The sequence below is a fragment of the Homo sapiens genome, chromosome 12 (assembly GCF_000001405.40).
Source record: "Homo sapiens chromosome 12, GRCh38.p14 Primary Assembly".
Lineage (NCBI taxonomy): Eukaryota > Metazoa > Chordata > Mammalia > Primates > Hominidae > Homo > Homo sapiens.
Genome location: NC_000012.12, coordinates 51,957,431 through 51,985,141, shown reverse-complemented (window position 1 = coordinate 51,985,141; position 27,711 = coordinate 51,957,431). Strand labels below are relative to the sequence as shown.

The 27,711-nt window shown below is 43.5% G+C and overlaps 1 protein-coding gene across 23 annotated transcripts in view, besides 2 other annotated features; it reads right to left on the bottom strand.

Moving 5' to 3' along the window:
• Positions 1 to 27,711, bottom strand: part of ACVR1B (activin A receptor type 1B) — a 45,380-nt gene that overhangs the window by 11,937 nt on the left and 5,732 nt on the right. For 6 of the 23 annotated variants that reach the window (NR_182041.1, NM_001412779.1, NM_004302.5 and 3 more), the window contains 4 exons: positions 9,638 to 9,877; positions 8,567 to 8,815; positions 3,943 to 4,173; positions 976 to 1,143 (listed from right to left, as the gene is read on the bottom strand). Coding sequence is in view for 19 of the 23 variants with exons in the window: in NM_004302.5 (NP_004293.1) it covers positions 976 to 1,143; positions 3,943 to 4,173; positions 8,567 to 8,815; positions 9,638 to 9,877 (888 nt within the window). In the remaining 4 variants the exon portion in view is untranslated. The other 17 variants (NR_182042.1, XM_047429858.1, NM_020328.4 and 14 more) reach the window with 11 other exon arrangements.
• Positions 4,362 to 4,411: an enhancer, noted in NCBI's record as "active region_6387". NCBI's record gives its function as "activates an Ori minimal core promoter by ATAC-STARR-seq in GM12878 lymphoblastoid cells {active_cell/tissue: GM12878}" and the evidence as "EXISTENCE:reporter gene assay evidence [ECO:0000049][PMID:35858748]".
• Positions 4,422 to 4,471: an enhancer, noted in NCBI's record as "active region_6386". NCBI's record gives its function as "activates an Ori minimal core promoter by ATAC-STARR-seq in GM12878 lymphoblastoid cells {active_cell/tissue: GM12878}" and the evidence as "EXISTENCE:reporter gene assay evidence [ECO:0000049][PMID:35858748]".

The following is a 27,711-nucleotide window of genomic DNA, read 5'->3' as shown; positions in this document are numbered from 1 at the left end:
AAAGCATAGACTATGCAGCCAGACTGTATAGGTTTGAGTCCTGGCTTTGCCTCCTGCTAATCCAGTGACCCTGGAAAAGTGACTTTAGCCCTCTGTACCTCAGTCTTCTCATCCATAAAATCAGAATGACTACTTATTTCATGGGACTGTTGTGAGGATTAAATGCATTCATGTAGCTAAGTTACGACCATAGAAGGACATGTGTATTTAGCTAATATTTGTATTAATATTTACTACTACTACTCGCCTTCCCTGAGCAAATATGCTCAGGTACAGAAGTGCTGAGGGACTGAAGGGAAGTTGCTGCAATGCCTAGTTCTCAGAAGGAAACAGGCCCGATGATGAGAACTGGCACCGCACAGGCTATAGGAATAGGATCCAACTTTCACGGGTGATTTTCCATTGTGGCCCTGGTCAACCAGGCATCAGGGATCACACCTGCCATTGTGACAAGATCCAGGATCTCCCAAAGAGCCGACATGATAATCAACAAGTAGCAGAGCTTCAGGTCTTCTTCCTCCAGGAAAACCTTCCCAGATTAGTAAGGCCCAGAATCTAATCCACCAAGTGGCCTTTAAGCCAGCTGTCCCCATCAATGAACATGGAAATCACTAAACTGATGTTCCCAGTACACTGGTTTATCTTTTTAGTTCCATTTTTTCTCATGTCTATTGTGGGATTCTAAGATGATTACTCCTTCGTAACAAATGACTATGTCAAGCCACTGATTGACAAGTAGCTGAATATTGATATTATAGGGTTCCTGAGGGAGTTCTATCAAGACAGAGGTGAAGGGAACACCCTGTAGATACCTCACTTAAGTGAAGCTCAAACCTCCTTTCCTTTAAATTAAACTAGAGTTCCTGAGGTCCAGCCCCAACTTCCTCAGTAAAAAGGAATTCTAGGAACTAAATCAGGACACTGCGGACCTTTCATGCCTACACCACTTCGCCGCTCCTGCGCTAGTCCACTCACCTTGGGTGCCCACGATCTCCATGTGCAGGTGTGCCAGCCCACTAGCAGCAGACAAGGCCAGCTTAATCATCCCCTCAATTGTCACTGTGTACCGGTTCAGATAATCAAACAGGGACCCGTGCTCATGATAGTCAGAAACAAGCCACAGCTGTGTCCAGGTGCCATTATCTGCAGAGAACCACAGATGAGTCCCAGAAAAAGTGTAACTATCAGCAAAACAGTGAAGGTTGGTAAGGATGAGTGTATACAACACAAAATCAGGTTAGACTCCTGAATTCACATTTCCCACCTCCATGCCCCCTGAAGCCCCATCTAGCATCCTTTCATTTATAGTGGTCTACCAGTTTGGGACCTCAGTAAGGACAGGGGAACACCATTTCTTTCTTAGGACTGCTCCTGATTTCCTTTAGGTGAACTGTAGGATTCTGAACATTATGTCAAATTTGAAATGTGAGGTACTCAGGAAAGAGGAGGCATATGCCTGGGGAAGGTAACAGCTATCACCAGCTTTGTGTGCAGCACTGCTTTGATCCTGACCAAGACTTGCTCATCTGCACGGGAGAACCACAATGAGCTGGATCTACCACCACCAAACAGGAAAGCCTTGGAGGGCCTCCTGTGTCCCAGCGACCCTCTGAACACAGCCCAAACACAGCACCTGTCTCATCTGTAATGTTTCTTTTCAGTCTGTTGTTCTTACCAGGCTATGATATCTCTGTGAGTAGGAAAGATCTCCTTTATGGATTATTGGATTCCAGGCCAAAAAATGCTTTTCAGTGCATGAATAGACCACTTCCAAGTATTCCCAGAAAGGCATCTCATCCTTCAGAGGAGCAATGGAAGGTAGAGTGCATACACTTTATTTTCTCTTTTACACTAGGGACAGCAGGAAGGAGGAGAGCAGGAGGAGGGAGAAAAAGAAACACCAAAGCCAGGAATCGAATTAAGCCATGCCGTTGTCAATTGGAAGACTGGAAATTGAGTTGAAATCTCCAAAATTCCAGGCTGGCGCTGATTCCAGGGCACCATACTATATATACCCCATGTTAAAAAGGCAAGAACGAGGGAGTCTGATTGTTTCCCTTCCCTGGCCTTAAGGTGGGTTTTGAAAGCCAGATCCCTACTCACACAAGCTGCCAGAATCAATAAAGGGATGGATCCTGGAAACACACACATCTTGGCTTCTCTTATCACAAACAAGGGGCCCACCCAACACACTGCTTCTCGCACTCTAACCAGCCCCAAAGTCCTGAGGACCCTGCTAACAAGTTCAAAGAGAAGACATGATTTGATCCTTTTAAAACATATAAGATTTAAATTTTATCAAAAGGTGATAGTTTTAAAAAGGAATAGCTTACTCAGTGGGAATAAAAATCTTGCTCTTCCCCTTCCTCCCTTGTATTGGAGTCTAAGGCTCCTCAGCTTGGGGGCAGCAGAGACCATTACAACTTCCCATGGCAATGTGAGGAATGAGCAGTCTGCTGTTGTTTCAGGAATGAAAAACAAATAGCATCTTCTGTAGGCTTTGTAGACACTAACTTCTAAATTGCACCATGCCACAGGAGCAAGTCATGTCACAACTGCTAGAGAGACCCTTCCACAATGTGAACCAGCCACTCACAGCATCCTCTCTGTGCTCCGGGTGCCACTACCTGTCCACGTGTCTGTCCCCTTCTTCCTGGGAGCTCTGTGAGGGGAGGGACTGTGTCTTGCTCTTATGTGTGATGGTCCAAGCAGCCAGCAGAGGTCTGGCCCACAGCAGTCAATAAATGTTATAGAATTAATGAATGAAATTTTAATTACTACCCACTATCTTCAGAATGGAATACAATCCTCTCAAAAAGGCCCCTCATAATCTGGCCTCTGCCTCCCTCTCCACCCACAGCCATCCAAGTTACTTGCTGGGCCCCAAACCTCACCTTTGCACATGTCTGCAGTGCTCTTCCCTGCAAGGAAGATTTTTCTTCCTGACCAGTTCTTGCCACCTTTGTCTCAACTGGGCTCAGGTGCGAGTCAGCCCCAATTTGTGCTCAACAGAACAACTCGTGTTTACCTCCTCTAATCACCCTTACTCGTCATCCTTTGCTAGTCAATGAGGTCCTCAAACATAGGGAGGTGCCTGGCACATAAGAGATTCAAAAACTAAAGCAATAAAAGGGAGAGGAAGAAGGAAAGAATCCTCAGGGACAGGACTGACCAAGAGCAGAGTCCGAAGGCGACACTTCGTGGACTACAGGCTTTTCTGTCGTTATCCTCCTTGCCAGGGTTGAGGCCGCAATTCCTCATCCTAGGGATTTTTTTTTTCTTTTTTTTTTTTTGAGACGGAGTCTCGCTCTGTCGCCCAGGCTGGAGTGCAGTGGCGCGACCTCAGCTCACTGCAACCTCCAGCTCACTGCAACCTCCGCCTCCTGGGTTCAAGCAATTCTCCTGCCTCAGCCTCCTGAATAGCTGGGATTACAGGTAGGTGTCACCGTGGCCAGCTCATTTTTGTATTTTTAGTAGAGATGGGGTTTTGCCATGTTGGCCAGGCTGGTCACAAACTCCTGACCTCAAGTGATCTGCCTGCCTCGGCCTCCCAAAGTGCTGGCATTACATGCGTGAGCCACCGCGCCCAGCCCATCCTAGTGATTTTCAAAATAAGCTTACGGGACCCCCTGCAGGAACTACAATGGAGGTGGGTTTGGGGGAGTGGAGAAAGAGAAATTGAGCAGGTAGGGTGAGGGGGTGTATCTTGTTTATCTGAGTAAGAACTGCTTGTTTATTTGCTTGATAACCTGGATTTTTGTATAACCTTTTCATGGAATAAAAGGCTCCACACTTTAAGGAAAGCATGGAAACCTTGACCTTACTCAAGTTTTCTTTCTACGGGTTACAATGATGAAGGCAAACAGAGCTGTGCACCCCATAGCTATGCACTTTCTCTAGCATCCTCTATCTGGGAATGCTGTATCCAAGCCCAGCCCTTACCTTTATTGTCAGCAGCAATAAATCCAAGGATGTTTTCATGGCGCAGCATGACCGTCTGGTATATCTCTGCTTCCCTGAACCAAGACCGTTCTTCACGAGAAGAGAATATTTTCACAGCCACATCACCACCCCTCCAGCGGCCCCGCCATACTTCCCCAAACCGACCCTTGCCAATAATCTCTTGTAAAACGATGGTTCGGGCCACTGTGCGCTGGACAAAGAGGGGTAACCCTGTGAACCAAAGAATAGGAAGAAACCTGACATTGCAAATTTGACAAATTTTCCAACTCCCACACTAATTGGCACAACGGAAACACCCTTAACATGGTGTCTTCATCCTACGCTGTCCATTAACCATGGAGAGCTGCTGCTGCCCATACACATTTCTAGGTAATCTACCAGAGGGCTGAGCCAGGCGGAGAGATGGGGAAAGAGTGAACACAAACAGGAAACGTGTATGATTAGCTACTCCTTATCTAGGCAATTTCTCCTCTCAGTAAGCACGGATGATAGATTTGAATGTAAATGTTTGACCAGATTTACCAACTCTTCAGCCAGCCACCTGTGGGCCGATCCACCCACATCTGCTTTATTTTGGTGGAGGAAGGAAAGAGGGCAGAGAACATGAAAGTGTGGGCTCATGTGCTGGGGGCCACCTTCTGGCTGTTCTGCTTATTAGCCACTAGAGGGCAGTGCTGTGCGGCCCATGGGTTCCCATCTCCAAAGAGAGCAATGCTCTGCTCACAAGCGAACTCCAGATGTAGAATGGAGGACCATCTATGTTTAGTCTAAGATTAACTTTACTGTCTTTATAAAACTCAACATTGCTTCATTTGACTCATTCAATGTATCTCTATATATCCAATCACCCTTACCATCACAAGTGACTCTTAACTGTCTTACTCCCACCCCCAATCAAATAATTAATACATTATTAATCCCTAGGTCTGGTAGATGGGAACTACCATTTACTGCATGCTTACTATGTATTAGGCTCCATGCTAAGGGCTTTACATAAATTATCTCACTTCCCCAAACCACCTGGAAGGTAAGGCGCTGTTATCATCCCCATTTTATAAACAAGAAAACTAAGGCTCAAAGAGGAGGTTATGTAATATTCAAATTCATACAAGCAGTAAGTGGCAAAGCAGGGCTTAAAATCTAGGACTGTCTGACTCTATAATCTATGCTTTTAATGACAACAGTATAGAACCACCAAAATGTTTCTCAAATTAGCCCCCGCCTCTCCATCTCCGTCCGCCTGTCCTACTTTTGGACCTTCTCTAAAAGACTTCCAACAGGTCTTTTGCCTCCCATCTCAGCCTGCTCTTGCCCTGTGCACCCACACACACCCCGCCTCACCCCACCCTTCCCAACAGAAGGCTGGTAGTGAATGAATTCATCCTCCACACCACTGCCAGAATTCCTTCCAAAGGAAAAAATGAACATTCATTTCCCACATGGAAACTTTCAGTAGAAGCCCCTTACCTAGAAGATAAAGGTCAGCCCTCAAGATCCTGTACACCTGGGGCAGCCTGACGTCCCCCTGCTTCCCCAGCACAAGCACATCATGCTGGTCTCCTCATCATAAAAGTTCTTTAAACATACAGTGGACCTTCATGCCTTTGTCTTTTTACTCAAGGTATTTTCATTGGCCTGGAATGTTCTTTGCCCTCTCGCCTCTCTTAAAAATTCCAACTCATTCTTCAAGACTCCTTTTTTTTTTTTTTTTTGAGATGGTGTCTCGCTCTGTCACCCAGGCTGGAATGCAATGGTATGATTTCGGCTCACTGCAACCTCCACCTCCTAGGTTCATGTGATTCTCCTGCCTCAGCCTTCTGAGTAGCTGGGATTACAGGTGCCCGCCACCACACCCAGATAATTTTTGTATTTTTAGTAGAGATGGGGGTTTCATCATGTTGGTCAGGCTGGTCTCGAACTCCTGACCTGAGGTGATCTACCCGCCTCGGCCTCCCAAAGTGCTGGGATTACAGGTGTGAGCCACCGTGCCTGGCCTTTTTTTTTTTTTTTTTTTTGAGACGGAGCTTTGCTCTTGCTGCCCAGGCTGGAGTGCAATGGCATGATCTGGGCTCACTGCAACCTCTGCCTCCCGGGTTCAAGCAATTCTCCTGCCTCAGCTTCCCAAGTAGCTGGAATTATAGGCGTGTGCCACTACACCCGGCTAATTTTTTGTATTTAGTAGAGACGAGGTTTCACCATGTTAGTCAGGCTGGTCTCAAACTTTTGACCTCATGTGATCTGCCCGGCCTCAAGACTCCTTTAAATGTGCCCTCCTCTGTGAGACTCTTCCCAACAATTCCTGTCTCTCTGATCCAATCCTGGGTCAGCCTTTTTTTTTTTTTTTTTTTTGAGACGGAGTCTCGCTCTGTTGCCCAGGCTGGAGTGCAGTGGCGTGATCTCGGCTCACTGCAAGCTCCGCCTCCCAGGTTCACACCATTCTCCTGCCTCAGCCTCTTGAGTACCTGGGACTACAGGCGCCGCCACCACGCCCGGCTAATTTTTTGTATTTTTAGTAGAGACAGGGTTTCACCATGTTAGCCAGGATGGTCTGGATCTCCTCTGACCTCATGATCCACCCACCTCAGCCTCCCAAAGTGCTGGGATTACAGGCGTGAGCCACCGCGCCTGGCCGGGTCAGGCTCTTTCTAATCTGTTTAAAACCATATCACCCAGAAGGTATTCAGTATATACTTATTTAAATGAATTGAAAGTCATATGAGCAGCATGGACTTACTACTTTAAAAACCACATTATTAGAAACCTAACACCTTGGAAGCTCTGCATATTCTGAATGAAGAATATACTAAACCACTCAGAGGGAAATAGTTATTAACCATTTTACCACAGACGACTAAACAACTACCATGGCCCTTCCCTTGTTTCAGCTGGTCTGGGTCTTAAAAAGACTTTGGAAAACCCAATCTACCCTCCTCTAGCAGCAAATCAATTCCCACAGTCAGCCAGGAGGTTCTAACCACTGCCCTACCTCTTTCAACAAGGAACAAGCCCTAGATTTTTGCTGTTTCTAAAAATATGCAGCTTTTAAATATATCCATCATTTTGGTGCTCTCTACTGCAGAGCTTAATAAAAGCAAAGCCACTGAAATTCAGGAGATGTCACAGCTCAAAGTACTCCCGTGTCAAGCAGAATGTCTGGGCATGACTGATGGCATAATTTCCCCACAGAACAACAGTCTTGTCCCACGTCAAGGAAACATACATAAAAACACGCAAAGTTCTCACAAATAAGATCCTCTGCGTTTTAGCTAGAATGGCAACAGTGATCTTTGTGGATGTTTTTTTTCTTTTTTAAGAATGGACTTGAAGCCAAGAATTTGAGACCAGCCTGGGCAACAAAGTGAAACCTTCCACAAAAAAAAAAAAAAAAAAAAAAATTGCCAGGCTTGGTGGCACATGCCTGACATCTCAGCTACTCAGGAGACTAAGGTGGAGGATCTCTTGAGCCCAGGAGGTTAAGGCTGCAGTCAGCTGTGATTGCACAATGGCACTGCAGCCTGGGCAACAACAGAGCGAGACCATATCTTAAAACAAAAAAAAAAAAAAAAAAAAAGGAATGCAATACCATTGTCACAAAAATAATGGTTTATCTTCATTAAAAAAATTCTTTACGAGGCAGGCGGATCACTTGAGGTCAAGAACACAAGACCAGCCTGACTGATGTGGCGAAACCTTGTCTCTACTAAAAATACAAAAATTAGTCGCTGTGGTGGCGCATTCCTGTAATCCCAGCTACTCAGGAGGCTGAGGCAGGAGAATCACTTGAACCAGGCAGGTGGAGGTTTCAGAGAGCGGAAATTGCGCCACTGCACTCCTGCCTGGGAAACAGAGCAAGACTCTGTTTCTAAATAAATAAATACATAAATAAGTAAGTAAAAAAATTCTTTTGCATTCATGTTCACATTTAATAGCTAGCTGAGCTATACCCTGAGACCTAAACAACCCCGAGCTCCTTTATCTTAAATTCTCGTCTTATGCCAAGGTCCAGTGTTTGGTTCATTTCCCTCATCTGAGAAAGACTTGGTCAACAAAAGGCAGTACAGGAAATAGTGCTGATGCTATGCTGGAGGCCCACACTGCCTTTATTTTCACCCCCACCAAAAACCCTTGGGCAACTGGTACAAGTCAATGATTCACCAAATCCCAACTCTAAGCTTTACTGGATGTCCTTAAACTCCCCTTGTGGTTGCTCAGAGATCAATGATTAGCTGTCACCACCTCACAGGAATCTGGCACACTCCTGTTTCTCAAAAGGGGCCCTGAAATTGAGCACTCCACTGCTCAGGTGGGACCAGCTGAATTTTAATAGATGTACGTACAGTTGCAAAGCTTAGAGAGGCAGGACTTCTGTAGTGGATAATTGTGTACTAGACCTTGGGAATCCCACGGAATGAGAGATTTTCTGTGAACCCATTATCTTATCTTATTACACGTCAGACTCCAAAAGAAGGGGAACTAGGAAACCAAATGACTCAATGCTGGTAGAAACAAATGCAGGGCCTCCAGCCTTCTCTACAAGCACTCTATCCTGCTGGGAAACTGATGAAAGCCAACCACAGACATGATGCCCTGAAGAACTTGGTACCTGAGCCAGACCCTGAGGTGGAGAGATCGTAGACAAGATCCTGGAGCGTCTTGTCTTTGGAGAGACACATCTCACATGAGGGATCTTCCATGTCCAGTCTCTGGCGGTTGTGATAGACACGCTGATGATAGTTAATGACAAGGAAAACAATGATGATGATGAGGAACAGGAGGAACACCGGGCCGGCGATGATGCCTACCAGCTCCACCGGGCCCCACATGGACGGGTGCTCAGGCTCCTTGAGGTGACCTGAGTCAAGTGAGAGAGGAGAGGGAAAGAATGAGAAGTAAAAACAAGGGAAAGAGTAAAAACACCCCCCTCAAAGTGAAGAGTGAAAAAGACCCCTTTCCCTGTCGATGTGTTCAGGCTCCCTTGATCTCTCTAATCTTCTGGGCTAGTCTTGCTGCCTAGATGCTCTCAAATGCCCAACTTCTTTAGTTAAGGCACCTCTTTCCACAGTCAAACCCACAACCCACTTTGTCACCTCACGCATTTCGTGGTACTATCCCCGCCTCAGGCCCCTACACAGATGCCTGTTTCTGCCCTTTAACTTCCCACAGCTCCTCTAAGCTCTGCTTTAGTTTCTCTCCTTTTCCTGTGGGCTCCACAGTAATGCCTCCTGAATGGTAGGCTTGCAAAAGGATGGTATGTGGTGTTTCTCGGCTTTGGTCACTGGCCTTTTCCTATTCTGGTCCCTCCTCACATCTAACCATCATCCTCCCTTGAGGAGTCACCTTTGCTCGGCTCTGGGGCCATCTCTTTCTGGATCAGTCCCACATCCTCCCGTGGGAATCCCTGCCTGGTTCTTCCACTCCTCACCGCTGCCTATGGCTGCTAAGCCACTACTCTAAACACTGCGGGCACCTCTGGGACTAACTTGAAAATCTGCTTCCTCACCCTCTAATCTACAAAAGCAACTGCTGAGAAACCCCAGCCTTTGTCACCTTCGGGAACATCCAAAAGGCATCTTTATCGTCAAACCAAGTGAGTGGGCAAGAGTAGAAAAAAATGAAATGACGGGGTACCCTATCTCCAAGCTGAGCCACTAGCCCAACAAGGGCATGCACTCACCACTGGGCACCCTCAAGTCGATCCTGTTGCAGTAGTCAGTGTAGCAGCAGTGGGTGTTGCGCAGGTCCTCCGAGCTCAGGCAGTAGAAGGGCTTCCCGGCAGGGACCAGCTCCACTTTGGGGATGCAGGTGCGCACATGGTGCTCCATCCCATCCAGATTGAAAATGGAAACCATGCAGGCCCCATCTGTCTCACACGTGTAGTTGGCCTGGAGGCAGCTGGTGCACGCACACAGCAGAGCTGCAGGAAATTGGGGAGCAGACATTGACATCAATGGTGAGATCTTTTGCAGGTCCTTTTCCAAACTTAGAATATAATCCCTTAGCATACTTGATGTTCCAAAACAGTTTTTATAGAGATGGGGCCAAAAAGATATCCTTAACTGAGCACAACTTCACCTGTTTATTTAGCTCACAAACAAGGCTTTTGAAGCTCCACTATTATCCTCTAAGTGCTCTACTTTATGCCTGTGAGAGACAGAGGAACTACCTTTTCTTCAAATTGAGATGCCTGACAAGAGGAAAGCATCTTCCTTTTGGAGAATGTGGGGCTGCCCCCCACTTCATGCAGAGCCACCTAGGGTTCCTGGAGCTATCACCAGCCCTATCTCCCCCAGCAGGAACCAAGCACACCCACGGCTTCCTGCAGCATGCATGCTCTCACACATTCTTTTGCTGCAATGCTTTTTTCCTGCCTACTTCTTACATATCCTTCAAAATTCAACTCAAATGTCACTTCTTTTGAAAAGCTTTCCCTGACCACTCCATTATTGTCCTCCTGCCTTTAGAAGTCCAAGTCAGGTGCCCCTCTCATTCACGAGGGGCAAAAATGATATCCTCCAAAGAGAACTTGAGAGCCTCCCTCATGAAGTTATTGTGAGAATTAAGTGAGATAATGCATTAAAAGTGCACAATACATTTAACCCATCCTGAAAGGCCCCTGGATAGCATGCACATGCATTCACGCATGAGTGTGCGCGCGCACACACACACACACGAATTTTTTTCAAACAGGCAGTGTACACAATCACCTCTGGGATTAATGAGTTTTGCTGGGTAACTATCATACATAAGTGTGTCCCATTTGACAGGAAATTACTGCAAATGAATTTGGCGCCTCTGAAAGCCTCTTCAGCAGCCCTGGAATCTGAAATCCTTTATTTATTCAACTAACAAGAATAGCACAGACAGCAGCAGTTGGTTCTCCCCAACACTGTCTCCCATGAGACTAACCTAGCTCTGACCTCTTGGCATGGGCAGGAGTGTTGCTTTGCCCACTAGAACACTGAGGCTGGGGCTCGGAAGTGCTGAAGGAAGCACTCACACATTGGCGGGTGGAGGTGGTGGGGGCCCAACTGAGTCCCAGATCACACACTAAGTAAATACTATCTGGATAACAAGTGGGAATGCATTCACACTATGGACCCTGGAGATGAGACACTTATGGGCAGTCCCATGAAAAGCCACCCTGTCATAACTCACCAATTTAGGCTGTACACAGTCTATCTTCGTCTCTTCCTCCAATATTCTGAAAGGCATCTCTTGGCTTTTCAAATCCAAAGACAGATTCTAAATATCTCAGTGCCCAACCCCTCCTTCCTTAGGCTTTCTATAAATGAGCCGATTCCTTGCTAGTCCCACCCGAGGAAACCAAGGAGGCAGCCCTGGCAGGTGGATAGACAGTGTAGACAGTGCAGATCTTCACTTATGGCCTGTTGTATTTTTTCACGTTTCATCAGATCCCTTTCTTCTGGGAGAAATTCCAAAACATGCAGCCTCTTGCTTCAGAGTTTGGGTAGTGTTATTTCTTAAAGGCAGAACATTTAAAGTAGGTGCCTATTAGACTAGGATCCAAATCATAAAAGGGATTTTTAAAAGTAAATTTCTCCTGAATTTTTATTCTAACCCATTTAGACACAAAAAAGACTAAGGAATCGCTTCATTTTCCCTTCCAAATACCTTTGTTTGCTCCCTCTCTTATTCTTTCTGCTTTTACATTTACTTCTGAAACTCACAGAATACTTGATCCAAAGCTCTTTTACTCACACTGGAATCTTAAGAAAGCTAACTCCCATTCCCCTTTGTGGCAGTGGGGACATTCAGGCACTTTAAAAGGGGTTCTCTATGGAAAGCATACCTCTCAATATTTGTGTTGTGATGTCCAGCAAAGAGAACAACATTGGTTCTATTTTGGGAAGCAAGAAGGGAAAAGTAACAACTTCAAGAGAGGACTATTCTGAGCACAGTGAGACACAAGCCCAAACCCACAGTTGCCTTTCAGAAAAGCGCTCACTCCAGAGCCCACCAATTAGAGGGACTGAATAGTCAGGAGCCTCTGCTTCCAGATACTTATGCTTATTTCGTTAGTTCACAACCTCTTTCACAGTGATTCATTCTGGAGAACGAACACACCCACACGTGGCTCATTATTTTTGGGAAGTACTTAAACAATCTTGGTGTAAGACAGGAAAGAACAAAAGTGGTGAAATCTATGCTAGACAGGACGAAGAACGGAACTGGGGGCTGGGCCGTGTGGGTTTGTGATAAGGCGCTGGGTGAGTCCCTGAGCCTATCTGGGCCTCAACTACCCAACCAGAAAACACCGTTTATCTTACAGAGATGGTATGAAGATTAGCCAAGCAACTGCTAAGAGCTGCGGGTCCTCTGAGAAAGGCCACTCTACACATATCTATGTCTAATTACATATTTTACAGAGTGAGAAGTCTGAAAAAGATATATTTTAAAGATAACTACCACCGCTGCCCATACCCCTGAAAAGGTCAGAATTACCATCACTAGTAGCCACAGTGGGGATCATAGCAGGACAGGTCAGAAAGGCTCAAATGCCAGCTTTAATATTAACCACATGACCTTGAGCAAGGTATTAACCTTCTCGCACCCGTTTCCTAATCTGTAAAGTGGGGCTGTTAATGTGCAGCGTTAGGCAATTTTGTTGCTGTGTGAACCTCACAGCGTGTACTTACACAAACTTAGATGGCATAGTCTAAGTGGTGTAGCCTCTTGCTCCTAGGCTAGAAACCTGTACAGTATGTAACTGTACTGAATACTGTAGGCAACTGTAACACAAGAATCATCTGTATCTAACATAGAAAAGGTGAAGTAAAAATACAGCATTATAATCTTATGGGACTACCATCATGTAACAGTGTGGTCCCTCACTGACCAAAATGCTGTTATACGGCACGTGACTGTATTTCACAGGGCTATGTAAGAATTACATGAAGAAATATATATCTATTTTTTAGAGACAGGGTTTTGTTATGTTGCCCAAGCTGGACTCGAATTCCTGGGCTCAAGGGATCCTCCAGCCTCAGCTTCCTGAGTAGCTGGAACTACAAGCATGTGCCACCACGCCCAGCTAATATATTTTTTAAAGTACTTAACAACTAGTAGATATTCAATAAATATTAATCCCCCCCTCAATGTAAAACCTAAAAACAAAACAAAAAGCCACCACCCAAGTAAAAATGTGTCTCCTTAACCACTAATTAGGAAGTGGCAAGTTTCAGTAAGAAACTGCTGTTCAAGTTTCAGCTCTATCAGGAACTAGTTGCATGGCTTTGGGCAAGTCATTTAACCTCTTTGAACCTCATTTTTCTCATGATTAACCAGAAAGAAGGGATTGAACTATATGACCTCTAAAATCCTTTCCAGCTATGTTTGAATCTAGTTTTGTTTTTAAGTTCACACTGTTTGATCACTGACCCAACACTGGACAATTCTGCTCTGTTTTATATGCCTTTTCCTAAACATCTTTTAAAGACAGACATTTTGGCTAGCCTTCTGTTAACATTCATTTTCCACTGAAACAAAAGTGATAAATTATAAAAACATCTAAATTTACTGTAAATCTTAGTTCATTAAATCACGCACACTAAATTCAATTCTCTCTGAAAAAATAAATCTGGACTAATGATAACAGCCCCTTAGAATCTGTTTCATAGTGACTCATCAGGTTAAAAATTTTACACACCGTGTATATAAACATACCTAAAACTCTCCTTATTCCAAGGCGGAAGAATTACGTAGTAGAAATAACACAACTCGGAAAACCAAATCACAGGAGTAACAAAATCACTCTACACATAAACAAGTTAGGAAGTGGTCAGAACAAAAGCCCTACTTGCATAGACTTTTGTCATTAACAAGTTAGTCAAATTTAAACTAAAGACAAAACCACCTTGGCAGGGTTTGAACACGGTTCCAAAGTATGATTGGAAGGTGGTTTGTGGTAGGATGTAAATGCAAATTTGATTCATGAGACAGGCTGTGTTTTGAGTAAGGCTGACAAGTTCCAACCTGGGCAGACTGTCTAGCTCCGTGTTATAGAGGCGCCTAACACAGCTGGAACTCAGAAAAGACAGGCCACTCAGTGACACCATGGCCCAGCTAAGAATTCTCAAAAACCGCCACACACAGTCAGATTCATGGCCATTTAGCCTAACATCCCGCCTCAGACCCTCACCAGGAGGGGTGTGGGAGTGTGCAGCATGATGGCGCCCCCTGTGAAAGGGAAGAGGCACAGCACACAACGTCTAAGTTTGTCCTAACAGATGAAGGTCCAGGAGCGCACCTAAAACTTTTTTGAAGCTATAGTAATTATGAATTTTAACTTAATTACTACTTGGGAATAATAAATTTCATAAATTTAGTACTGATTGTGGAGCACTGTCCTGTTTAGGTACGCTAGAGATTTTCAAATTTCACCGGGCAACCTTCTAGTTCTGCCCTTACTCTTCGTGATTTTATGACTTGATCATAAACTGCTTCTCAGCACTCTTTCCAGATGAGAAATTCACCAAACAGCCCCAAGTGATAAGAATAGCCTAATACAACCATGATTATTTTAATTATTCTTCCCTGGCCCTTATCCCAACCCTCTCCAGTACGGATAGAACAAAGACCATAACTCTACACAACTGTGATTGCAGGATCAGAGACATCAGTTTTATATTCAGGTAGGATGTTTTCAGTTTGTTTCCCATAAGAAAACACCGTGCAGAGCTACGCTGTGTTATTGTATCAAGAGTTTTCACTTTCATCCTCTCCTGTGATCCCCACAGGAACTCACGAGCTGAGGCAGGTATAGCTGTCTCACTTTATGGATAGTAAAGCCTCGGAGAAGTTAAGGGGCTCACAAGCGGTAAACCAGTAAAACGATGGAGCACATCTCCAACTCAGGTCTCCAGGGTCTAAGTTCGATCTTTTCCCCACAACACCACACAGCATTCTACCACGCTCTTTCTGACAACACTTGGCACACAGAGCCAGCAGGGCCACGGCCACACTAGGAACACCTTCATGTGATCAGATTCAGCACCCTGCAAATATCATTCACATCACTCTCAACACATTCTTACCCTCCCCGTATCAAATGCGCTATTGGTTTTCTGACCAAAGAGCCACACCATGTCTTCCTGCAGTTCATCTCCAGGGATTTAGTGTGTTACAGCCTGGGATAACAATGCCACTGGAAACCTCAAGGTTTCACCATGAATTCCTTACTTCATATTGGTGACTCTACCAATATTATGGAAGTGGTGCTTTATCCCTACTTTATTTTTTAAGACTTTTTAAAAAATTTTCTTAGAGACAGGGTCTTGCTATGTTGCCCAGGCTGGAGTGCAGTGGCTATTTACAGGTGCAGTCATAGCTCACTGCAGCCTCAAATTCATGGCCACACACGATCCCTTCTGCCTCAGCCTCCTCAGTAGTTAGGACTACAAGTATACCCCACCACGCTGGCTAAGATAGTTCTTTATACACAGTGTAAATTCCTTTAATCCCTTTGTGACTTTAAAATAACTACCTGTACAGACTTTATTAGGGTCTTTCAAAGTCCAGATCAAGTCTTTCTCTTTATTCACATGCATACTTACCTCTATAAAAAATTCCAATTAGCCTGCCTGGGCTTTAGAGAAACCATACTGCCACCTTCTCTCGAGTGGGTAGTATAATGTTTTCTTAGATTCAGTAGCCCACTTTTATTATAGGTCTCATCAGCATAGCAACCAGGGTCTTTCTGGAAATCTCTTTACACATATAGGAGTAACAGGTCAATTTAACAGTCTTCTGGCTGTGGTGCCATTTAAAGAAATAGACTGTGTTCCATTCACCTTTGCATCTCCAGGGCTGAATTCTAGTAGGTCCACACTAAACATCTGCTCAAAAATGGCCATTTACGACGACAACATTAAAGTCCTTTGAGATGGGAAGAAAAATAACATTGTCCCAGTTACTATGGCCATATAACAAATTACTCCAAAAACTTGTGGCATAGAACAACCATTTAATCTATGCATGGATTCTATGAGCCAGGAACTTGGGCAGGGCAGCAGGGACAGCTTATCTCTACTCCACAACATCTGGGGCTTCAGGTGGAAGACTCCAAGGCTGGGGCTGGAATCATCTGAAGGCTTACTCACGCTTACATTTGGCGCATGATGCTGGCTGTTGGCTGGGGACCTTCGTTCTTCTTGATGCGGTCCTCTCCAACTACAGGATAAGCATTCTTTATCCAAAATGTTCGGACCAGAAAGCATTGCAGATTTCTGATTTTGGGGGATTTTAGAATATTTTCATATATATCTGACTGGGCAACCCTAATCTGAAAATCTGAAATCAAGATGCTCCAATGAGCATTTCCTTTGAGCACGTTGGTGCTAAAAAAATTTTGGATTTTGCAGCATTTTGGATTAGGGATGTTCAACCTGTAGTCCCTTTGTGTGGGTTAGCTTAGGTTAGCTTAGGCTCCTCATAGCATGACAGCTGCCCTTCTCCAGAGCAAGAACCCAAAAGGAAACGAACCTGGCAGAAACTGTATCCTTCTAGCAGCCTAGCCTTAGATACCAGAAAGCATCACATCCACCATATACCATAGATCAAAGCTGTCAAGCCTCCACCCAAATTCAAGGAAGGGACATGGGTAGACCCTGCCTATTGGAAAGAGTGTCAAAGTCACATTGTAAGAAAAACATGTGGGATGGGAAATATAGTTGCAGTCATTTAGGAAATACAATTTGCCACAAAGACCCACTTCTTTAGGTCTAAAACGTCCCATATATTTATCACTACTTAAATTTAGAATAAAATAACATTTATTACAAGCCAACTATTAATATAAGATTGGTTTTAAACCTTTACCTCAAGAGGTATCTAACATCTACAACTTGTTCACTTCGAAATAATTTGGACTTGTATGTTTCCATAGCACGCTTCTCAATACGAGTGAAGAAATAATTCTTTTTTTTTGAGATGCAGTTTTGCTCTTGTTGCCCAGGCTGGAATGCCATGGTGCAATCTCAGCTCACTGCAACCTTTGCCTCCTAGGTTCAAGCAATTCTGCCTCAGCCTCCCAAGTTGCTGGGATTACAGGCACCTGCTACCACGTCTGGCTAGTTTTTTGTATTTTCAGTAGAGACCGGGTTTCGCCATGTTGGCCAGGCTGGTCTCGAACTCCTGACCTCAGGTGATCCACCCGCCTCAGCCTCCCAAAGTGCTGGGCTTACAGGCATGAGCCACCGCGCCCAGCCAGAAATAATTCTTTTAGTTTCTCTGCTACCTCCTCTATCACTGAGAGCACCTTTAGGGAGATATAATTACATAGTGATTAACAGCCTGGGCTCTGAGGTCAGACAGCCTAAGCTTAAATCCTGGTTCCATCACTTGTTAGCTTAGCAACACTAGGCAAGTTTCTTGGGCTCACAGGACTCGGGCTGCCCAATTAGAAAATGCAGAAAACTAAGAGAATCAACTTCATAGGGTGGCTCTGAAGAATAAGATAATCAGTATATAAAGCTCTTAGCCAAGTGCCTATACAGCTAAGTGTACAATTAAATGCCAGACATTCCCACTAGTACCAGCCACCGATTCTCTAGCAGGTTTCCCCCAACCTTTAATATTTTTGTTTGTTTGTTTTTGTTTTTAAGACGGAGTCTTGCTCTTGTCACCCAGGCTGGAGTACAATGGCACGATTTCGGCTCACTGCAACCATTGCCTCCTGGGTTCAAGCGATTCTCCTGCCTCAGCCTCCTGAGCAGCTGGGATTACAGGCGCCCGCCACCACACCCAACTAATTTTTGTATTTTTAGTAGAGACGGGGTTTCACCACGTTGGCCAGGCTGGTCTCGAACTCCTGACCTCAGGTGACCCACCAGCCTCGGCCTCCCAAAGTGCTGGGATTACAGGTGTGAGCCACCGCACCACCTTTAATGTTTTTATTTGTTTGTTTGTTTGGTTTTTTTTTGAGACGGAGTCTCGCGCTGTCGCCCAGGCTGGAGTGCAGTGGCACAATCTCTGCTCACTGCAAACTCTGCCTCCTGGGTTCATGCCATTCTCCTGCCTCAGCCTTCCGAGTAGCTGGGACTACAGGCGCCTGCCACCACGTCCGGCTAATTTTTTGTATTTGTAGTAGAGACGGGGTTTCACCATGTTAGCCAGGATGGTCTCGATCTCCTGACCTTGTGATCCACCCGTCTCGGCCTCCCAAAGTGCTGGGATTACAGGCATGAGCCACTGCGCCCGGCCTACCTTTAATGTTTTTAAGTGCCTTTAATTTTTTGTCATTGATATTGCAATCTTCCGCAAGTTATATTTTAAATTGCAGTTTCCCACAATATCATTATCATACCTAAAATAACTGACAATAATAGCCTTAATATAATCAAATATCCAGTCAGTGTTCAAAAATCCTTTATTACCTTGAAAAAATTAACAACTGGCTCAAACCCAGATCCAAGAAGGGCACGGTGGCTCACACCTGTAATCCCAGCACTTTGGGAGGCTGAGGTGGGAGGATCTCTTGAGCTCAGGAGTTTGAGATCAGCCTGGGCAACACAGTGAGACCCTGTCTCTACAAAAAGTAAACATATCAGCTAGGTGTGGTGGCACATGCCTGTCGTCCCAGCTCTTCAGGAGGCTGAGGTGGAAGGATTGCTTGAGCCCAGGAGACTGAAGCTGAAGTGAGCTGTGACTCCATCACTGCACTCCAGCCTGGGTGACAGAGCTAGACTCTGCCTCAAAAATAAAATAAAATGAAAATCCAGATCTAAATGAGGTTCTTCCATTGCACTCAGCTAAGAGATCTCCTAAAACCTTTTTCAATCTATAGGTTCCCGCTTGCACTGTTATTTTTCCTTGCAAGTTATCTGTTGAAGAATCTAGGCCATTTGTCCTGCAGCTTCCCACATTCTGGATTTTTTGGGTTGACTCTCCAAGGTGTCATTTAACATGTTCCTCTCTCCTCTGTATTTTCTATAAGCTATTAGCTAGAGTTAGAGGTTTGATGTGATTCAGGCTCAAATTTCTGGCTAGAATACTAACAAGTGATGAATACCATCCCTACCATCCCTCACAAGGCACAGAACTTCCAGTTGTCTCTTTTTGTGATGTTAATTCTTTTTTCTTTCTTTCTTTTTTTTTTAGTAGTATTTTCCTCTTCTACTTTTCCAGGTCCTGTGTAGGTATTCCCTCTATCTCCACACTCCCCTCCTCAACCCAACACCATTAGCTACACAGATTCTGGCACACACACATCTTTAGTCTAGAAAAGACTAAGTATTCCCTCTTCCAGACTACTTGAAATTTAGTCTGTAATCGATTTCATCCAACATGCAAGATCAAATTCAGTGTATTTCCTTAAGTAGTTCTAAGACTGCGTATCCTAAGGATGGGTTCTTAACCAAAACTGCTACATTCCTCTCTTGTTCGTGTTTGGATAATCAGTCTCTAATCACTGACGTCCGGCCTAATTCTGTGGCTTCTCCAAGCTCATTATCCCAGTCAGATGGTCTGCATCATACCTATCCTAGCCCAACTATACCATCCATATAAGGAAAGGACCTCGCTGAACGATCTCACATGGTACTGTCTTTATCTAGTAAAGCTTCTACCTCCCATTGTGCTTTGATGCAGCCGCATCCTCCCCACAGGTCTGTACTCTAATATCTCCAACCTACTGGTTGTCCTCCCACCCAGCTGCTGACATTGAATCAAATACATCAAAGTTCTTACTTGCTACTAAGCATTTCAATTCTAATATTTCATTTTGAGGAATTCTACTTGGTGGGGGGGTCCAAAACTATAAATGTTAGTTGTGCTATTATGAGTATCATATATCAGGGTTTTTTTAAATATACTTTATCTTTACTAGCTTTTTTTCCCCTGCTTACCAAATTAATCCATGTTTCCTCGTTTAAAAAGAACTTCAATCACCACAGAAATATATAATGTAGAGGTTGAGAGCCCCTCTAATTCCTGCCCCAGAGATAATTACTACTACATGTTTGATGTATATTCCTCCAGGGTTTCTTAGGCATACTATTTTTCAAAAGGAATTCTTTTTGCAAATTGATACTGAAAAACTGAGAACCGAACTTGTCCACCAACATAAATTACACATAGAGTAAACATATGATCATATATGTAAATTATATACATCAGATGAGAGTCAATACAATCCCTATCAGAATCTCAGTGGCCTTTTTTTTGTTTTTTTCCAGAAATGAAAAAGCCGATCCCAAAATTCATATGGAATTGCAAGTGACCCTGAATAGTCCAAACAATCTTGGGAGAAAAAAAAAATAAAGTTGGAGGACTCATACTTCTTGATTTAAGCTTACAACAAAGCTACAGTTATCAAACAGAATGGTGCTAAGTATAGACATACAAACCAACAGAACCGAATTGAGAATCCAGAAATAAACCCATACATCTATGATTAACTGATTTTCAACAAGAGTGCTTAGAACATACAGGGGGGAGGAAAAGTCTCTTCAAAATATGGTGATGAACAAATGGATAACCACATGCGAAAGAATGAAGTCAGACCCTTACCTAACACCATGTGCAAAAATTAACTCAAAATAGATCAAAGACCTAAATATATCAACTAAAACTTAAACTTCTAAAACTCTCAGAAGAGGGGTAAAACTTCATGAACTTGGATTTGGCAATGGTCTGTCAGATATGACACCAAAGCACAAGCAACAAAAGTAAAATGGATAAACTGGACTTCATCAAAATTAAAAACCTTTGTGTATCAAAGGGCAATATCAAAAGAATGAAAAGACAATGAACAGGAGAAAATATACGCAAATCATACATCTGAAAATGGTCTAGAATCCAGAATATATAAAAAACTTTTCAAACTCAACAACAACCCAATTAAAAACTGAACAGGAGCCACGCAAGGTGGTGCATGCCTGCGGTCCCAACTATTCAGGAGTCTGAGGCAAGAAGATCTCTTAAGCCCAGGAGTTCAAGGCTGCGATGAGCTAAGAATACACCACTGCACTCCAGCCTGGGTGACAGAGCAAGAACCCTTCTCTAAAAAACATAATTTTTAAAAAACCAACAAAACTGGAAAAAGACCTGAACAGACATTTCTCCGAAGATATACAAATGGCCTGCAAACACATGAAAAGATGTTCAACATCATCTCTAATGTATTGCAAATTCAAATGCAAATCAAAACCATAATGAGATACTACTTTATATCCACTAGGAAGGCCATAACAATATGAAAAAGAAATTTAATAAGTGTTGGTGAAGATTTAGAGAAACTGGAACCCTTGGTGCATTGCTGGGACATAAAAGGGTACAACTGCTGTGGAAAAAAGCTTGATGGTTCCTTAATAAGTTAAATCTAGAATTACCCTATAACCCAGCAGTTCTACTCCAAGGCATATACACAAAATAACTGAAACAAATGTTTAAACACAGACTTGTACATGAATATTCTCAACAGTACTATTCACAATAGCCAAAAGGTGGAAACCACCCAAATGTCCATCAAATGATGAATGAACAAAATGTGGTATATTTATGATGGAATATTATTCAGCCCTGAAAAGAAACTATTGATACGTGCTATAATATAGATGAAACTCAAAAACATTATATTACATGAAAGAAGCCACACATTAAGATTCTATGTATATGAAATGTCGGCCAGGCGTGGTGGCTCATGCCTATAATCCCAGCACTTTGGGAGGCCGAGGTGGGTGGATCACTTACAGTCGAAACCAGCCTGGCCAACACGGTGAAACCCCGTCTCTACTAAAAATACAAAACATTAACTGGGCGCGGTGGCGCATGCCTGTAATCCCAGCTACTCAGAAGGTTGAGACAGGAGAATCGCTTGAACCTGGGAGGCAGAGGTTGCAATGAGCCGAGATCATGCTATGGCACTCCAGCCTGGGTGACGGAGCAAGACTTTGTCTCAAAAAAAAAATAAATACATAAAAAATAAATAAATAAAATTAAAATTAAAAAATAGTGGTGATGGTTTGCACATTATGAAGGTACTTAAACACTACTAAATTGTACAATTAAAATAGTACATTTTATGTTATACGTATTTTGCTACAATTTAAAATTACTACCATAAATCCCTATTTGCCAAACAACATATACAATATGATCTCAATAACAAAAACAAAAAAAAACTACAGTGTTTTTCAAACTATCTTCTTCCTGAATCTCTAGACTCTCCACCGTGTCCGGGAATCTCTGAACTCACAAAGAGGAAACCAGTGTCCTTTTCAACAGTTTCTCACTGGTATCTAGTACAGCACCTGGCAAATAGCACTGTGCTCAATAAACCTCACTCAACAGATCTCAGCCTAATAATTTCAGGGGCAGAGGGGCCTCTGCCAGAGTTGCTCAGCTTTTACTCACTTTATATACATTTCTACATTTTCATTTTTAAGAGTTCCACTGTCTTAAAAAGAAAGACAATTGTTAATAGCTACTGATCTAGACAACTGCCAAAATGTTTATGAAAATCTGAATCAGGTTAAAAAATGTCTGGCACTAAACTGTTCACAAAATAGAGGCAATGTGTGGCTTTCTTGGGGGGCAGGAAGGCAATAACTAGGAACTGATACTGTACTAGCAAAGTTCTAACTAGCCTAAATAGAAAAATCTTGCAGCAGTAAAGCAATCACATGCTATTTGGTTAAAAGAAAAAAAGACCCAAGTTACATTTTCACCTTTTACAATCATCAAAATTAGATTTTAAAAATACATTAAAACAAAAAGCTTTCAAGTACCCACAAGCCATAATAAAGTCAAATTTTACAGGTGCCAATGGTGGTATACAGAAAAACAACAACAACAACAACAAATGTACTGGTAAAAAGTACTTATGAAAAAAAATATAACTGACTTAATAAAGGAAGCTATTTGTATGGTGGGGGGTGGGGAGAAACACAGATTTAACAATAAGACACTTGATAAGCTTGGTATTTAATTCCAATCTGGGAAAAGGTCTTGGAATGGGGTTTGCATAAGAGAAAGGTGTTTGGAAAGCCAGCTCCACACTATATCCATTCTACAAACTGCCTTTCTGACATTCTACTTGGAGACAAACCCAGCCCTAGAGAGCTGTTTAAACAAGTTCAACCTTAAGTCTCAGTTAGAGAATGAAAGCTTTGTTCTCACTCAGAAGAGACGTTTGATGTTTATGCTAAGGAGACCTGTCATTGCAACTTAATTTATGGCTGACTGTAAATACCTGAACATCTAGCAAGGGCCCACCTGCTGCCCAAGAGAATGTCAAGGTAAGACTGAAATGAGTGGGCCTCATTATGAGGGAGTGTGTCCAATGTTCCTGGGACCTATGTGTGCAGACTCAGCTGTCATATTTAGACAATCAGGAAATTGCATTTCTCCTTTGATATCAGTTTATGATGAACATGTAAAACCACTGTTTTCTTTGTTGAGTCTGAATAAACATACTTCTGGCTCAATAGAGCAGGGAAGGATATTTATCCCTGGTATTTTCTTCCTGACCTATTTATTATAGTATGGACGAATGGAGAGGAGACCGTGTATGTCACAGTTTTGAGTGAGAAGAGGGATAGGAATGATTGTTTCAGGCAACTGGGACAATGGAAAAGGAAAAAAGAAATCAGCCAAACTGAGAATAAAACTAATGAGGTTGAGAGATCAAGTTCATTTGGCTGGAATAAAATGGGTAGGTGGTAGGATAAACAGAGATGAAAGAGGTGAGGTAGAAAGAGAGATTATGATGTTCCAAGTAACTCACAAATGTTTGCGGCATTTTTTGAGTAGGTTTAAAATACTATATATACAAGATTATAATAACATTAGAGCAAAACAGAATTGGAATTATTTACCTAGGATTTTACTGAGAGGATGGAAAAGAAATGAATTAATTCAATTAAACAAACTTATTAAGTACTTGAAACATGCAAGGCTCTGTGCAGGCCGAAGCCATATAACAAATAAGCCAGCTCCCCGCACCAATTCTTTGGGCATGGAGAGTGGGAGAAGACAACTATAAACAGTGCAACTCCAACTACCAATACAGGCTGAGGGGAAAAGCAGAGAGGATGGAATCACTGACCGGGAGAACACAAGAGGACGAAGGTCCACACTGGAGGACGCTGGGTTTGGCTAGGAAGAGAAGTGGGGAGAAGCATTCCAGAGAAAAGGAAAAGGGAAAGCAAAGGGCTGTGAAAAAATATTAGCTACACTGGGTTCAGAGTAAATTGACAGTTCGAACAATGCCAAGGTTCCAGCCAAAGGCAAGAAGAGTCAGGGAGACTAAGACCAGATGAAACTGATTGCAATGCTAAGCTAAGGGGTCTAGAGTTGATCCTAGAAGCCACACAACCTCTAGGTCAGACAAACAGGGTGCATTTCCAAAGTTAGATCTAGCCGTAGGATGGAAAACAAATGGGAGATTGAAGGCAGAGAGCCTGGTTAGAAGGTCACTTTTACAGTACTCACAGTTTATAGCACAGTACAATATTTAGAGCACATGTTTTGGACTTGGATAGACTTTGGACCCACTGCTTAACTTCTCTATGCCCTAGTTTTCTCATCTGTAAAATGGGAATAAGAGCCCCTAGCCCCTCAAAGAATAACTACATAGAGTAAATGATACAACACAGGTGCTTAGCATAATACTTTAGTATATAGTAAACATTCAGCAAATCAGATGCTTTTATTACAATTGTCACCTGAACTCCTCATAGTTTGTGGTAGTTCCAACAAGCAGAAAAAAAGTCCATTTGTGTGTAAACTTTTTTTTTTGAGACAGGATCTCACTCTGTCACCCAGGGTGGAGTGCAGTGGTGCAATCATGGTTTGCTGTAGCCTCAATCTCCTGGTCTCAAGCTATCCTCCCACCTCAGCCTCCCAAGTAGCTGGGACCACAGGCACACGCCACCAAGCCCTTGTAATTTTTAAAAATGTTTTGTAGAGACGAGGTCTCACTATATTGCCCAGGCTAGTCTCAAACTCCTGGACTGAAGCGATCCCCTGTACCTCATTCTCCAAAGTGTTGGGATTACAGGCATGAGCCACTGTGGCCGGTCTCTGTGTGTAAACTTCCAAAGGGCAAGGACAGACTCTTTCCTCAGGATCCCTCTCAGCATTCAGCTTGGTGCTAGGCACATCCTGGATATCAGAAATGAACACTGACTGATTACAATTCAATCTTATCTTCTACAGGTATAAAAGGTAATATGCAAACATATACCAAAGCAATATACAAGGATGTGGGGCAAGGTGAGTCCTCTACCACAAAAAAAAAAAAAACCCAGAAAATACTTCAATTCCCAGATTCCTCAACTCAAACATCCCAAGCACCTAAAAAACTTATTTCCAAAGCATCCACAATCCCCTCTCCCCTCCACTCACAAATATCTAGAAAAAAGTTATAGTCAGATGAAAGCCACATGTGGTCAAAGGATTTATTTTTATATGTGAGTGATGGGATGGCTGGGCACCAGGTCTCAAGTACCCTCATGCCTATCTTGGGGTATTTCTCATTATTCCCCTCTCTTGCTTTACCTATTTTCACCATCACCATTTGACTCACCCCCACCCAATGCATACATTTTTTAAACCACCACCTAGTTACTATTTCACAGTTCCTACAGGTCAGAAGTCCAGGCACAGCACCGACAGTGCCAGTTAGGGCTGCCTTCTCATCTAGGATTGGGTCCTCCTCCAAGCTTACTGGTTGTTGACAAGATCCACTGCCTTGCAGATGAAGGACTGAGGTCCCCATGTTCCTCCTAGCTGTCAGCTGGGAACCACTCTCAGCTCCTAGAGTTTGCCTGCAGTTCCTTGCCATGTGGCTGTTGGGATCGGCAGTTCACAACATGGACGTCTGCTTGCTTCCAAGCCAGCTGGAACATCTGATTTCCTCTTGTGCAATCAGCTGAGAAATCTCTCTGCTTTGAAAGGGCTAGTTCAATCAAGACAGACCCACCATGATAACCTCCTTTAGATGGCTAAAGGTCAACTGATTGAGACCTTAATTCTATCTACAAAGACTAGCATTTGACTGAATACCTGAAGCAGGTGTGTGTACACCAAACATGGGGAATCTTGGGGAAGTGAGGAGCAGAAGGTGGACTGTAGTAGGCACAACTGCTTTACATTTTATACTTTTGTTTATTGTCCACCTCACCTGGCAGAAGGTAAGCTTTCTGAGAGAAGGCAATTTTGTCTCCTTTCGTTTACTACTGTATCCCTAACACCTGCAACAATGCCTAGTATATGACAGGTGCTCAATAAATATGTGTCAAGGGACCCTTTGGATCAGGGGTCCCCAACCCCTGGGGCCACAGACCGGTACTGGTCCACGGCCTGTTAGGAACCAGGCCACACAGCAGGAGGTAAGTGGCAGGCGGGTACCTGAGCTCTGCCTCCTGTCACATCAGCGGCGGCATTAGATTCTCATAGGAGTGGGAAACCTACGGTGAACCGCGCATGCGAGGCATCTAGCTTGCATGCACCTTATGAGAATCTAACATGCTTGATGTGCCTGATGATCTTTCTTTTCTTTTTTTTTTTTTTTGAGGAGTCTCACTCTGTTCCCCAGGCTGGAGTGCAGTGGCGTGATCTCGGCTGACTGCAACCTCCGCCTCCCGGATTCAAGCTATTCTCCTGCCTCAGCCTCCTGAGTAGCTGAGATTACAGGCATGCGCTGCCACTACCATGCCCGGCTAATTTTTTATTTTCAGTAGAGATGGGGTTTCACCATGTTGGCCAGGCTGGTCTTGAACTCCCAACCTCAGGTGATCCACCCACCTCGGCCTGATGTGCTTGATGATCTGAGGTGGAACAGTTTCATCCCAAAATCATATCTCCCCTACTTCCCCTGTGGGAAAATTATCTTCCACGAAACCAGTCCCTGATGTCAAAAAGATTGGGGACCACTGCCCTAGATCACCATGGTAGGTACTCAACATGCATATGTTTAGTTTGCAGTCTGGAAATGGGACTTCTAACTACATGTATTAAAATTCTGGTTTAGTGAAATTCTACAATTTTATTTCTACCACTTTTGTATACAGTTCTAACAAAATATGGTTAATGCAAATTTATTTGTAACCCCAATATCAACATTCATGGTACCTTCCTGCTCACTGACAGCCATGCACAGAATAGTGAAACATCTGAAACACCCACCACATGCATTCCCAACTGAGGTCAAACAAGGCAACACCCTGCCTTCTTGTTTCAGCTGGCATACTGTAAACAAGTTATCCTTTCTGCAGTATATTTAGTGTCATGCTTTTCATTGATGATTTTGCTGTATAAAATGGTCCCCCACAAGTAGTGCTGAAGTGCTGTCTAGAGTTCCTAAGTGCAAGAAGATAGTGATATGCCTCACAGAGAAAATACATGTTAGAGAAGCTTAGTTCAGGCATGAGTTAATAGTGCTGCTGTCAGTAAAGTTCAATGTTAATGAACCAACAATATATATTAAATAAGGTGTCTTTAAACAGAAACAAAGCCAGGCATGGTAGCTCAGGCCTGTAATCCCAGCCCTTTGGGAGGCCAAGGCAGGAGGATAATTTGAGCCCAGGAATTTGAGACCAGCCTGGGCAACAAGTGAGACCCCATCTCTACAAAAAATTTAAACATTAGCCGGGTATGGTGGCATGTGCGTGTGATCCTAGCCACTTGGGAGGCTGACAAAGGAGGATTCCTTGAGCCCAGGAGTTTCAGGCTGCAGTGAGCTATGATGTTTTTGGCTTTTTTTTTTTTTTTTTTTGACGGAGTCTC